General features: G+C 43.3%; 2 protein-coding genes across 12 annotated transcripts in view, besides 2 other annotated features; one reads left to right on the top strand and one right to left on the bottom strand.

Moving 5' to 3' along the window:
* Nucleotides 1-12,890, top strand: part of RELL1 (RELT like 1) — a 100,073-nt gene extending 87,183 nt beyond the window's left edge. Inside the window, exons 7-9 of one of the 7 annotated variants that reach the window (XR_007057960.1) lie at nt 7,977-8,081; nt 10,313-10,369; nt 10,698-12,890. The gene's annotated coding sequence lies outside the window, so the exon portion shown is untranslated. Of the gene's footprint in view, nt 1-7,976; nt 8,391-10,312 lie in introns of those variants that run through there. The other 6 variants (XR_007057958.1, XR_007057959.1, XR_007057957.1 and 3 more) reach the window with 6 other exon arrangements.
* Nucleotides 5,684-13,740, bottom strand: part of PGCKA1 (PDCD10 and GCKIII kinases associated 1) — a 140,256-nt gene continuing 132,199 nt past the window's right edge. For all 5 annotated transcript variants that reach the window (XM_011513713.3, XM_011513712.3, NM_001104629.2 and 2 more), the window contains 2 exons: nt 10,295-10,348; nt 5,684-9,106 (listed from right to left, as the gene is read on the bottom strand). In XM_011513713.3, the coding sequence (XP_011512015.1) occupies nt 8,194-9,106; nt 10,295-10,326 (945 nt within the window). In that variant the 5' untranslated portion in view covers nt 10,327-10,348 and the 3' untranslated portion in view covers nt 5,684-8,193. The remainder of the gene's footprint in view (nt 9,107-10,294; nt 10,349-13,740) is intronic.
* Nucleotides 8,357-8,857: an enhancer, noted in NCBI's record as "H3K4me1 hESC enhancer chr4:37591959-37592459 (GRCh37/hg19 assembly coordinates)". NCBI's record gives its function as "activates a minimal SCP1, AML or CMV promoter by ChIP-STARR-seq in primed H9 embryonic stem cells {active_cell/tissue: H9 hESC(primed)}" and the evidence as "EXISTENCE:reporter gene assay evidence [ECO:0000049][PMID:30033119]".
* Nucleotides 8,858-9,358: an enhancer, noted in NCBI's record as "H3K4me1 hESC enhancer chr4:37591458-37591958 (GRCh37/hg19 assembly coordinates)". NCBI's record gives its function as "activates a minimal SCP1, AML or CMV promoter by ChIP-STARR-seq in primed H9 embryonic stem cells {active_cell/tissue: H9 hESC(primed)}" and the evidence as "EXISTENCE:reporter gene assay evidence [ECO:0000049][PMID:30033119]".

The following is a 13,740-nucleotide window of genomic DNA, read 5'->3' as shown; positions in this document are numbered from 1 at the left end:
AGGCCTTGACTAACTTTTCTATTCTTTATTACAATCTTCCTTAGAACCAGAACAAAACCCCCTTTTAATCCCAATTGACAATACATACAATTTTACATATACAAAATTGGGTTGTCTCACATTTTGATTCAGCCCTTATCTTTGTCTAATGGCAACATGGATGTTGCCACAGAGAGGCATATTATGTCACCTTTAAAAGCACAGGTTTGGGCCAGGCGCGGTGGCTCACGCCTGTAATCCTAGCACTTTGGGAGGGTGAGGTGGGTGGATTGCCTGAGCTCAGGAGTTCGAGACCAGCCTGGGCAACACGGTGAAACCTTGTCTCTACTAAAATACAAAAAACTAGCTGGGCATGGTGGTGCACGCTTGTAATCCCAGCTACTCGGGAGGCTGAGACAGGAGAATCGCTTGAAGCTGGGAGGCAGAGGTTATAGTGAGCTGAGATCACACCACTGCACTCCAGCCTGGGTGACAGAGCGAGACTCCATCTCAAAAAAAAAAGCACCGGTTTGTTGTTCAGTCTGGGTTCAGTTGAGATTCTGCCACTGTCTGGTTGTGTGATTCTGGATGAGTTATTTAGCTGTTTGAGCCTCCATTTTCCCATGTGTGAAATGGGGACAATCATACCTATAGCTCATGGCGTCACGGTAGACTTCAGTGAGATGATTCACGTGCAGTACTTAGAACAAGGCTGACTGCATTTGGTGCTTAACACATAGCAGTACTGAAAATGTTAAGCTATAGTCATACCTATAAAAATACTAAAAACAACAACAAAATACCAAAACCCATAACTTGTTGGCTCCCAGAAATTAATTACTGAATACAATTTCTACGTTAATATTTGGCAAATTATTTTGAAGTAATGTCTTTGCAGATTTTTTCTCTATATATTTTCTTCCTATAAACTTTTTTTTTTTTTTTTTTTTTTTTTTTTTTTTGAGACAGAGTTGCACTTTGTTTCCCAGAACAGAACATTCAAGGAAATTCTTTTGTTATCTAGTTTGGGTTTCTGTCATTTGCAGCCAACCAACAAAACCAACAAAAAGAACTCATGACTAATGCAGTTATTTGCAGAAAAGTAGCTATAGGAGGAGTTATATATATATATATATTATGATATATATATATTACATATCATTTTATATATATGTGTATATATATATGTAGGCTGGAGTGCACCAGCACGATCTCAGCTCACTGCAACCTCTGCCTCCTGGGTTCAAGCAATTCTCCTGCCTCAGCCTCCCAAGTAGCTGGGATTACAGGCGAGCACCACCAGCCCTGGCTAATTTTTTTATTTTTAGTAGAGACAGGGTTTCGCCATTTTGGCCCGGCTGGTCTTGAACTCCTGACCTCAAGTGATCCGCCTGCCTCGGCCTCCCAAAGTGCTGGGATTACAGGCATGAGCCACGGCACCCAGCCCCTGTAAATTTTAATTTAAAAACCACAACAGTCCTTGATGGTTTGTCACCCGGCTTATGGCTGATGCCATGAAAACCTTGGACCTTAGATCTTGTGTCTTCAGAAATTGGTAATTTAAAGCTTTTGTTTCCTTTCTAAGCATCAACATCTAAGACAGAGAGAGCAGCACGTCGGCTGATGAGTAGAGGCTATGGACCTTCTGTGGCCTGTGAACTCTTCCTGATTTATGTAAATTCTGAGGTTTACCTTTCTCCATAGCTTTAGGAATATTTTGGAGAATGGAAAAGAATGAGTTGGACCTAGAAATGGATTTTTTTGTGTGGGATTTTAAGTTGGTAACTTATGTCAAGAGAAATTGCATTGTTGTGCTTTCAAAGTAGCCAGATTCTGACTAAACAAGTATTCTAATTAGCCTGTTCCTCAAAGGCCTCACTCATTTTAGTTTGGAATGTGTAGTTTTGATTAGGGAGATAAGTAAAATTCTTTGTCTGCCTTTTGGTCTCTAGGTCATATTTTCCCTTAGTTCTGTATTAACTATTCCAAAATGCTTAAAGGCAGTAAATACAGAAGTCTCCTAGGAACAAGGCTCAGAGGGCAGCACAGGTGAGGAGGAAGAGTTGCAGGTCAGTGGTGTTGACTGGATTTGCAAGTGGGCTTATATTATAAGTGCGTGGTCCACACTCATGTGTATGCTCTATGTGCTTTCAAAAATATTGGCCCGGGCTGGGCGCGGTGACTCACGCCTGTAATCCCAGCACTTTGGGAGGTCAAGGTGGGCAGATCACCTGAGGTGGGGAGTTCGAGACCAGCCTGACCAACATGGCAAAACCCTGTCTCCAGTAAAAATACAGAATTAGCTGGGCGTGGTGGCGCGTGCCTGTAATTCCAGCTACGTGGGAGGCTGAGGCAGGAGAATCGCTTGAACCCAGGAGGCAGAGGTTGCAGTGAGCCAAGATCGTGCCATTGCACTCCAGCCTGGGCAACAAGAATGAATCTCCATCTCAAAAAAAAAAAAAAAAAAAAAAAAAAAAATATATATATATATATATATATATATATGCCCAGTTTTGTCTATTTACAGAGAGCTTTTATATATACTAGTTCATTTGATCTTCTAAACCAGTGGTTTCCAAAGTAGGTTTCACATACCCCAGGGGAGTGAAAAAAATATTAATGCTCTGATATGTTGTTACTTCATCTTAGTATTGCTAAATACTGTAAACCATATAACATATTAGAAGACAGTATGGTTGTAAAAGTGCTTATATTAAGGGTGTGTGCAGTACTTTTTACTGATAACTGGTGCAAGATAAAAAAAAGGTGTGGCAATCCCTGCTGGAGTCTTATGTGTTTCTCCAAGTGCGGAGAATTACTTACAAAAACGATGTAGATGCCAGGACCCCACTCAAGACCTCCTAAGTCTGAATTCCTAGAGGTAGGTCCAGAAATCTGCCTTTTAAACAAGCACACCACATGCCTCAGGGGCACACTGAAGTTTGAGAATGTGCGCTTTCAATTCTTAGAAATAGGAATGATCCCCATTTCACAGATGAGAAAAGTGAGGCTCAGAAACGTTAAGGAACTTAAAGTCAAAAGGTCACACAGCGAGCAAGAGGCACAGCCGGATTTCACCCCAGGTTTATTAGGATTAAAGAGGCACATGTATGGGAAGTACCAGGCACGTGTCACATGGGCAGGGCCTCTGAACACCTGGAGGTCATGACGCATGGCTGCAGGTGTTACTGAAGGGTCAACCCTGGGCGCACCTTTTTTCCCCCATCACTAGGAGCCAAGAGAACGGTGAGATCTGGATGTCATTACACGAATATACACCCTTTTTTTCCTTCTCTTCCAGGATTTTAAAGATTGAGTTCAAAATCACTAAAAAACGAGGTCGGCCAAGCTCCCCATTGCTTGGCCCCAAACATTGGTTTTCTTAAAGTTTTTGTCTCAATTTGGGATTACCGTCCTTAGGGTAACGTGGACTCATTCTAGAGACCAAACCTTCAGCAGCTGCCCAAATTCTACTCTGTCCACTTTTCCACAGACCACCACAAGCCTCATTATTCAAATAGAGCAGGGTAGTCTGAGAGTGAAGGGCCTGAATAATAAATACAATTCCTAAACTCTCAAATTCCTATGGATTTGTGCTCCCACATCCTTTATTACACCATGTATACCTTTATTACACCATGTCACAATCCAGCACAATCCTGGCTACCTGCATGATATCTCCCCAACCAGACCGGGAAAAGATCACTAACTCCAGACTTCTTTTATGTATTCTTTCAATCAACAAATATGTATTGAGTTCCCCCCTTGTGCCGTACACTAACTTAGATCTCAGGCCAAACGCATTTTTTTAGTACAGATATTTCAGTTGAAAAAAATTGCTAATAGTTGACTCCAAGTGACTAAATGTGCAGGTAAGCATCATCTACGATCAACACATTGACTTGCATAAAATGTTTCTTAAAGTGGCTGGGAGTGCTTCAGAAGTTAGCAGACCACTTAGGTGTGGTTTGTATAACCTGATACATATGAGAAACTTACAAATTTAGTAAATCTATAAATGAATGACTTATTGTTCTATTAGTTAACAGGGAAAGGATTTACCATGAAAAACAGATGTCAGCTTGTCTGTGTTTGTCACCAACTCCAAAATAGAGGATTTAAAAATGCATGAGGTTTAATCTAGAGAAAAAAAATGAAACAAGACCAGAAAGCAATTAATTTCTACGTTTTCGTCATAAAGCCTGGTTGTGTGAAAAGCAGTGCCCTTGATGAAGAGTTAAGTCCAAGTCCAGGAAAGGAGGCTATATCCTGTGCTGCAGTAGTGACTGTGCTCTATCTGCTGCATGGTTGCACACAGACGACCAAACCAGGGAAGTCAGGAGATCTTTGCACTTGCACTTGCATCTGGTGTCTCATTCATTCTTTCTAAGGCCTCCTGCTTGGAGGTACGGATGGGAGAGGTAGGAAGAGAAGAGAATCAGAGAGACAGAGCGGGGCAGAGGGAGGAAAATGACGAATGGCCAGCACTTACTGAGCATGGACAGATGGGCATGTGCTATGTAAGAAACCTAAAATTCTCTTCGTTTTTTTGGGTATCTGGTTTTTCCAGTTATAACTATTCACTACATCTGCTTTGGCAATGAGGGGAAAAAATTTAATTTCATATTTATATGATAGTTCATTTTCCCCCAGTAAAAAGTTAAATCTAACTTCTTAGCTCAAGAAACCTATATGTAATATATACATAAAATAATCTTAATTCAAAATCAGGATTTAACATGGTAAATATCCACGTGATGCAATTGCCTAAGGTTCATGGGGAACTGTGAAGTCTGCCCCTAATCACAGTTAGTGCCTTCCAATCAGAGTGCATTGTGCTTTCATATTGTCCACAATGTTTGAAAAGGTTGGCTATTTTCAACATCACTTTTCTGACAAGAGGTGGCACTAGGCTGCAGAAAGAAGACACTACACACATAAGCGTGCTCAGACAGCTCACTGTTAGACAACCTGGTAGATAAGGCTAAAAGCTGGAATTACTTTTCAACCTAAAGATTTTTTACTTTCATTTCCTTTGGGGGATCCTGGATACTGGAGTAAAGATGAAAGGGGCCAGAATTACTTTTAAAGAACTCTTGAAAGTATTGGCCATCTGTCGACCTTTTCAAAGCAGTTATTCATAAAAGAGAATCTTTAAAACTACAGAGCTGTCAGTTATGGTGAACTCTGCAGCTGTTCTAAGATGTAAAATTATATACATATATAAATGCGAAAGTGTGTGTCTGGGTAAGAGAAAGAGACTTGTCTGCCCTGATACCTTACCCTACCCCTTCTTTGTCTGAATTTCTTCTTTTCGTCCGGTTTGGAGTTATCAATGGGAAGTTGGAGCAGCGGTAGCTGTCCAGTCCTCCTTCCCCCGGACCAAAGGTGGAAGCCCCTTTGGTGTCACACTGAATGTACACACGATCTTCCAATCTTTTGAAACCAGCTGTATCCCAGGCTTTTGGGTTTTGAGACCTCCTGTGGCAGAGACTGTAAACTGACCGCCTCGAAACTCATTGTCCATTTCCCCTTCTTAGTAACTGCATTCTGAGTTTATTTGGCAAAGCCACGCACACCACTAGCAAGACGATTTCCTAGTCTCTCTTGCAGCTAGATGTGGCCAAGTGACCAGATTTTGACCAAAGAGAGTAATGTGGAAGGGATGAATTATACTTCTGTGGGGTCCTTAATAGAGAGTGAGTGGGGTTTTTATTCCTTTATTCTTTTTCCAACATGGAATGCAAATGTAATGACTGAAGCCACAGCAGCCATTATGGACTACAAAGTGATCTTGAGAAGGAAACCAAAATGATTGAAGCAGCATGGGTCATTCATATGCGGGTCATTGATACGTGGGTCATTGATATGTGGGTCATTGATACACGGGCCAGTGATACATTCTCTACCACCCTGGATCACTAACTCCAGACTTCTTTTACATAAGAGGTAAATAAGCCTCTATTTGTATAAAACACTCGTCCCATACAACTGAACATAATCTCAACTGATACACTTAGGAAATCATTGAAGGAATAAGCATTCTGAAATATTAAGTATTTGGTGTACTAAATACAAAAGGAGACATACCTCTAATGCAATTAACAATGCCAAGACTTTATCTTTTTAAGGGCTCTGAGTGACCCTGTATATAGAGGTCACTTGCGATGGCTTGTCATTACAGTACCAAACAAACCCATAGGCTCATTAAGCATTTGTAAGGGTGCCGTCCTTAAAGGTGCTGGAAGGCTCAGAAATCATGTTTTATACTAAATAATTGCCAAAGTCAAATAATGACATTATACATACTTCCCAGTTTTAGAGTTTTCAGTTGTGGGGATGTAAAAATGTTTGTTAAAGGAATTGTTTTCAACTAGTAAAACATCATTTTTGAGTGCCTAGTGTGCCAAGCACTGTGCTAAACACTTACATCATCTCATTTAACCTTTACAAGCACATACAATTATTCTTCTCACTTTACAGATGGGTAAAGGGATACATAACTTGTCCAAGGTCACATGGCAAAGCTGGAAATCAAATGAAGTTCAGTCAGATTTCAATTCTGTGTTACAAAACACCAAACTAAAGCATCTTCCATGTTTATTTTTTTCTAGATAGTTTTGAGCATCCTTAATGCCTTTAAATTCTCCATTGAGTTACGTTAGAATGGTTGTCCTTGTTTCAGTGAATTAGAAGGCTGAAATCCAGAGAGGGCTTGTTCATCTTTGAGGTAAGATCAGGACATTTAGTTATGGCATCAAGTTTGACAGAGAGAAAGCCAAAGCTATGGCTCTGCAAACCAGCTCGGTCCCTTCCTTGAGTATAATTTTGTAGTCTAGCTCTTTTTTTTTTTTTTTTTTTCATAGAGATGGGGTCTCGCTAAATTGCCCAGGTTGGTCTCGAATTCCTGGCCCTGGCAATCCTCTCACCTCAGCCTTCCAAAGTGCTCAGATTACAGACATGAGCCACTGTGCCTAGCTTAGCTCTTTTTTTTTTTTTTTTTTTTGAGATGGAGTCTTGCACTGTCACCCAGGCTGGAGTGCAGTGGCACGATCTCAGCTCACTGCAACCTCCACCTCCCAGGTTCAAGTGATTCTCCTTGCCTCAGCCTCCCAAGTAGCTGGGATTACAGGCGCCCGCCACCGTGCCCGGATAATTTTTTGTATTTTTAGTAGAGACAGGGTTTCACTATGTTGGCCAGGCTGATCTTGAACTCCTGACCTTGTGATCCACCCGCCTCGGCCTCCCAAAGTGCTGGGATTACAGGCATGAGCCACCACGCCCGGCCATCTAGATTAGTTCTTTACATTGAAAGTAACATCCAGGGTCACTGATATTCTGAGAAAATTAGAACCACCTTTGAGTTAAGACTTCTAGAAAGACACATACGTTGTTATATTTTAATTGGAATCAGACATTTAATGGCATAAAAACATTGCATATATGGCTTTGCTGTTCCGAATGTCATGAACTTAAAATCCAAATATGACATAAGCAGTTTTAAGACTTATTTTGGCCAGCCTCCCCAATCCCAAAGGAGATTTAAAAGTAATAATGTAAAAAAGTTAAGGTCAAGGTGTTTTAAAATCAACATCTCAGCTAATGACTAACCCTTTGTTTCCTGGGGACTTCTGCTCTACTGTGAAAACTGCTGAGCTTAACCCGCTGTTGAACAACTGGTTAGTTATTAGTTCCCTGGGTGATTGTCCCTGAAGTTAAGCCATGCTCTGGGGACACATGAGGCACTTTAATTGGGGTAGTTACTTTTTCCAGGTTGGGTACAATGTTTGGCTCTCAAAAGCAAGGTAAACAGTTTACAGTCAAAAGGAATGCTCTGTGATTGTGTGCCTTTGGGATCAAGGGTTGAGATCTTAGAGTATTCTCATAAACATCTGTACCAGGTGCTCAAAGATGTTTGAGGGTTGTCAAGCAAGCTGTTCAACTTCTGCATTTTCTGTGGATATGGGCACAATGACCCACTCAGATTTTTCTCCTAGTGTCCTGAATGACAGCTCATCTACACAGAGTGAAACTCCAGATATGTGACAAGCAGCATGGGACAGATGCTGACAATCAGAACAGATGCTGGATGTAAACAACTGGTAAGGCTGCACTGGTGCATGCTGGCAGAATCACCTGCTATGCATCCAGGGAGCAAATGCATCTGCATGCTCAGCATGACACCAGCTTACCTCCCTGTGCAAATCCCCTCCCCTAATCAGTCTCATCCAAATCTTCTCCTGCAGTAGCAGCTTCTAAAGCTGCAAGGGCCTCCGCCACCGCTGCATCCTCGTCCACAATCTCCCCATCCCCATCTCCATCGGAGCCATGGGTATCCTCCTGCCTGTTTCCTGAGTCAACCACAGGCATGGCATGAACAGGACCCTTCTCATTAAAGCAGATGCTTAGAACTTCTGTTTCCACATCCTCATTCAATGAATCCCAGCTTCTCCTCACAGAGAAGGGCGTATTCAAACCATGCTCCCCCACTGGGGGCTGAATTCCCTCTAGGGATTCATCCTCAGTATGGTTCTTGAAAACACAGTCCTTTTCATTATGATCAACGTTGTCTCCAGCTGGGCCCCAATGCTGAAGGTAATCTGGGGCTGGTATCTGGAAGACATGGTCTTGTACTTCCAAGGCAAAACTTTCTGCCTCAGAAGGAGCTCTGGAGTCTCCATTTCTCATGACTTGGGTCCCTTCTGAGGCCAGCAGCACACAGTCCTGTTTCCTGGTGCCCCCTCCTTCCAGGAAGGGTTGAGTTGGGGGAACAGTATTTGCAGTACTGGCCCAGGAGCCCCTGTCATCCTGGGTGGGGCTGGAATTCCCAGTGGGCTGTGGAGTGGCAGCAGGGCCGATGCCGTTGACACCGCAGGCATGGTGTTCCCCTCCAGCGTCCCCCTGTGGGAGCGGCCCTTGGTGAGGCCAGCAGGGCTCCCATGGATCAGCTGTCCTGCTGCTGCTCTCAGTCTTCTTTGAGCCCTGCCTCTGAGGGTCATTTTTCTGCACCAAGACTTCACTGCTCCATTTGCCTTTTAATTTATCAGTGTCGTCTTCATCTAGCTTGCAGCTGTTGACTTCATTGACATAGCCAGGAGAGGGCACTTGAACTGGATCAAAGAGATAGCTTCAGGAAAGACAATGAAAACCAGTCAGGTCTGCTCCATCATTAATGCTTTTTACCACAGGCCCTGCTTCTTTCTACGATTCCTGCTAATTTAATTTCTGTGATTACTTTTCAACCTAGATAAGTATGTCTAAATCAAATAGATATAGTTGGTATAAAAATGTTTGGTGGCTCACGCCTGTAATCTCAGCAATTTGGGTGGCCAAGGCGGGTGGATCACTTGAGGTCAGGAGTTCGAGACCAGCCTGACCGACATGGTGAAACCCCATCTTTACTAAAAATACAAAAATTAGCTGGGTGAGGTGGTAGGCACCTGTAATCCCAGCTACTCGGGAGGCTGAGATAGGAGAATCGCTTGAACCTGGGAGGCGGAGGCTGCAGTGAGCTGAGATCACGCCCCTGCACTCCAGCCTGGATGACAGAGCGAGACAGTCTTGAAAAAGATAAACAAGGTTCTGCCTGAAATACTCTTAAGAAGAGAGCCAAAAGGAGGAAGGAGGGGTAAGGGGTGAAGTAAAATACAAAGTGGTTCATAGAATTTTAAAATAAAAAACAAATAAAACAAATGTCCACTAACAGGGCCATAAGGAGTATATCCTCTCAGTGGAATATTATGCAGTCACTAAAATGATAAATATGAAGTCTGTAGTCACAGGAATGATACTTACAATACATAGTTTTTGAATAAAGCCAAACATCACAGTATGATTACAGTGGAATACAGCTTATTTATATATAGGTCTAGAATAGAACTATGATTAAAAAGACAGTATATTTGTTAAGAAAGCAAGATCATCAGTTACCCTTTTTCTTAGTTAGAAGTTTATGTTCACGTTACTCACAATTTTCTGAAATGCAATGTGGACAAAATTAAAAGCACATATGTGATTGGGGTGATTTATTTTCAGCGATGCCATTTCAGGCATCCTCAGAAACCCAGACCAAATTCAGCCTCAGAAAATGATGGTGTTCCCAACATGCTTTGAGAAGTGAGCAAAAAAAGTTAAAAAAATCTAGGGCACATGTTCTTTTAAATGATATTATAACAATTCCAAACTCTTAATGTGTTGGCAATGTTGATCATGCCCCAAGCTGGATAAATGCACTGAATACACGCATGGTCTTTAAAAGTGACCCCACGCTCATCACAAATTCCTCCATTTAGAAGTAGTATTTCTCCAGCTTTACCTTTGTATTATTTTACAGCACCTGCACCCCATCTGGATTGTTTTCTGTTACCACCTGGAAAAGAAAGCGTAAAAGGTAGAGAACACAGTGAGTGATATATTAGTAGGAATTAAGTTTGCCTTTTTTTTTCCCTAGAGACTCAAAATGTATTAAGAGAGTCACACATTTTGGCAAAAGGATAACTACCACGTGGGTCAGAGAGGGTGCTGGTTACCAGGAATACCCCATTTCCATCACCGCTTCAGAGTTCTCAAACGTTCACTGACACTTGCCTCTGTGTCAGACCTTTCTCCCAACCCTGGGGTTATGTGTTTCATCCCCATTTTGCAGATGAGGAGAAGAAGGTGGAAGGATGCTAGACAGAGAAGGGACTTCTGCTTTTCTAATCTGTTACCTTCTACAGAGGACACAGGAACCTCACCAGGGCACGGCCCACTGCACGCAGCAGCAGGAGGGGAAGGAGATTCTGACGGATTCCTTGCCAGGGCATTTGCTCCTCAAGAGTTAAAGGATGCCGGAATAAGCTGGCGGATCCATTGTGTCCCATGATTCAGGCCCTGAGGAGCGTGATAGCCCGAGTCATCGCACAAGCTTCAACCACACTAAATTGATTCTGTGTTGCTTTTCCTACCGCTGGGCCAATCTCAGCTATGATTTGTGGACCTGTTCTTTTGCAGCTCAAAGACATGCCCCCTTGGGCTTCCTGGCAGAAGGTGGACTCATTTCCCACTTGCCCACTGTTCCCTGACCCCTCCCCAAGCTGGGCTTTTCCCCATCATTTCCTTTGGAACAAAATCTTCTCTTCATATAAAACTGACCATGTTGGCCTCTTCCTTCCTCAGAACATCCTAAAAATGAGTATGGAAGCATCTCTTAGATATTATTCATTTCTAATATCTACAGCCTTTATTTTTATTTATTATTTTTTTTTGAGACACAGTCTCACTCTGTCGCCCAGGCTGGAGTGCAGTGGCGCAATCTCGGCTCACTGCAACCTCTGCCTCCCAGGTTCAAGCGATTCTCCTGCCTCAGCCTCCCAAGTAGCTGGGTTTACAGGCGGGTGCCACCATGCCTGGCTAATCTTTGTATTTTTAGTAGAGACAGGGTTTTGCCACGTTGGCCATGCTGGTCTCAAACTCCTGACCTCAAGTGATCTGCCTGCCTTGGCCTCTCAAAGGTCTGGGATTACAGGCATGAGCCACTGTGACGGGCCTACAGCCTTTAAAAAGACAAGCCAAAACAGAATCTGCATCCCCAGTCTCCCTGTCTCCATGAAGCACATGCACCAGAAAGAGACATCATTCATTGCTGGCTGTGTCTCTGTCTCCCATGTTGTCCCTCCTTCCTTCTTTCAATCATAGGTGAATTTCCAGGGATGCTGCTTCATAAGCTTTTGTCCACAGTGAATATGACTGGTGCTTTTTAAGAAGTACAGATTGGTTGCTTAGTTAAAAGGGACTAGATTTACATTAAAAAAATAAAATCCACAAATAACTCCCTATGGTAGGCTGAAAAATGGCCCCCAAAGATATCCACATCCTAATCCCTGGAACCTATAAATAATACCTTATATGCCACCCCAGCCCCCAAATTAAAGGTATTTGCAGATGTGATTAAGTGTAGGATTTTCAGATGGTACAATTTGCCTAGTTTATCTGGGTGGACTCTAAATACAATTAAATAAATGCTTATGAGAAGGAGGTGGAGGGACATTTGATTATAGACAGAAGAGGAAGAGGCAATGTGACCAAAAAGGCAGAGATTGGAGCAAGGAGGTCACAAACCAAGAGTACTGGCAGCCCCCCAAGCTGGAAGAGGGAAGGAACAGATTCACCCCTGGAGCCTCTGGAAAGAGTGTGGCCCCGGTGACACCTTGATCCCTGATACCCACCCCTGGATCAAGCCCACTGATACCAATTTCAGACTTCTGGTCTCTAGAACTGGGAGAGAATAAACTTCCATTGTTTTGTTTTGTTTTGTTTGTTTTTTTGAGACAGAGCCTCACTCTGTTGCCCAGGCTGGAGTGCAATGGCACAATCTCGGCTCGCTGCAACCTCTGCCTCCCTGGTTCAAGTGATTCTCCTGCCTCAGCCTCCCCAGTAGCTGGGATTACAGGTGCCTGCCAACACGCCCAGCTAACTTTTATATTTTTAGTAGAGATGAGGTTTCACCATGCTGGCCAGGCTGGTCTTGAACTCCTGACCTCAGGTGATCCATCCACCTTGGCCTCTGAAAGTGCTGGGATTACAGGCGTGAGCCACCATGCCCGGCTGCTTCCATTTTTTTAAACCTCTAAGTTCGTAGTAATTTGCTGCAGCAGCACAGAAAACTAGTAACATCCCCAAATCACTTCATGCTTGAGGACCAAACCCCTTGTCCTTCCAACTCTTCCTGGGAGGACTCATGGAATGTAGAAGAGTCCCTCGGACCAGCCGTGCATCTCTTGCCACCCTCTTTCCTTACCGTGCTCCACCCTTCTTCAAGTCTAATTCTCAGCACTTAGGACAGCACCTGGTACAGAGCAGGCAGTCAATAAATGTGGAATGAATGAATGATTTAATGGCTATGGATTAAAAACGAGAGCACTATCAGTGAACCTGTTGTGTGTCTGCAACCAATCAAGACATTTCCAGTTTGTGCCAGCCGTGTCGCCCAGGTGTTATGAGGGTGGGCTCAGGAGACAGAAAACCCTGCTACTGTGGGACTTTGGGCCTCAGTCACTTGGCCTGTAGATGGGGATAATAATATTCCTACTATATAGTGTTGCTGGGGGTCATATGAGCAAACATTCATAATAAACATAGACCAGGGGTGTCTTAACCACCCCATTTGGATACAGCATATTAAAACACACCCCCCAAAAAGAAAAAGATGGAGGTCTAGTATCCAAGAAAGATATAATCTAGTTGCCAGAACCTATGCATACAAACAAGAGTATTAACAATGTCAAGTAGGACTTGTTTCTGGAATAAGGGCTACATGGTATATTTCTATCAACTGTGACACCAATTGAAAGATAGAAAACCCCAAGTACAACAACAGTCCCGTAGACAGAAAAATCGCTTTTGCTATGGAACTGTGTACACATGTGTAACATTGTACCTTTCAGAATACTCTTAAACTACCCCATTTCTAAAGCCCAGGATTTTATTCCCAGCCTCTACTCCTCCTTTACTTTCCTTTTCTGCTGATAATTCATAGATGAGCTGGATAAATAGGACAGGCGAGAAGAAGCACGTGCACCTCCTCCCCTCCCTCAACACCTCTCCTCACCCCTCTCCTTCCTCAACACCTCTCCTCTCCCCTCCCCTCCCTCAACACCTCTCCTCTCCCCTCTCCTTCCTCAACACCTCTCCTCTCCCCTCCCCTCCCTCAACATTTCTCCTCTCCCCTCCCCTCCCTCAATACCTCTCCTCTACCCTCCCCTCCCTCAACACCTCTCCTCT

Source organism: Homo sapiens, chromosome 4, assembly GCF_000001405.40.
Source record: "Homo sapiens chromosome 4, GRCh38.p14 Primary Assembly".
Taxonomy (NCBI): Eukaryota; Metazoa; Chordata; class Mammalia; order Primates; family Hominidae; genus Homo; species Homo sapiens.
Note: the sequence above shows the minus strand (reverse complement) of the source record. Positions and strands in the feature narration are given on the sequence as shown.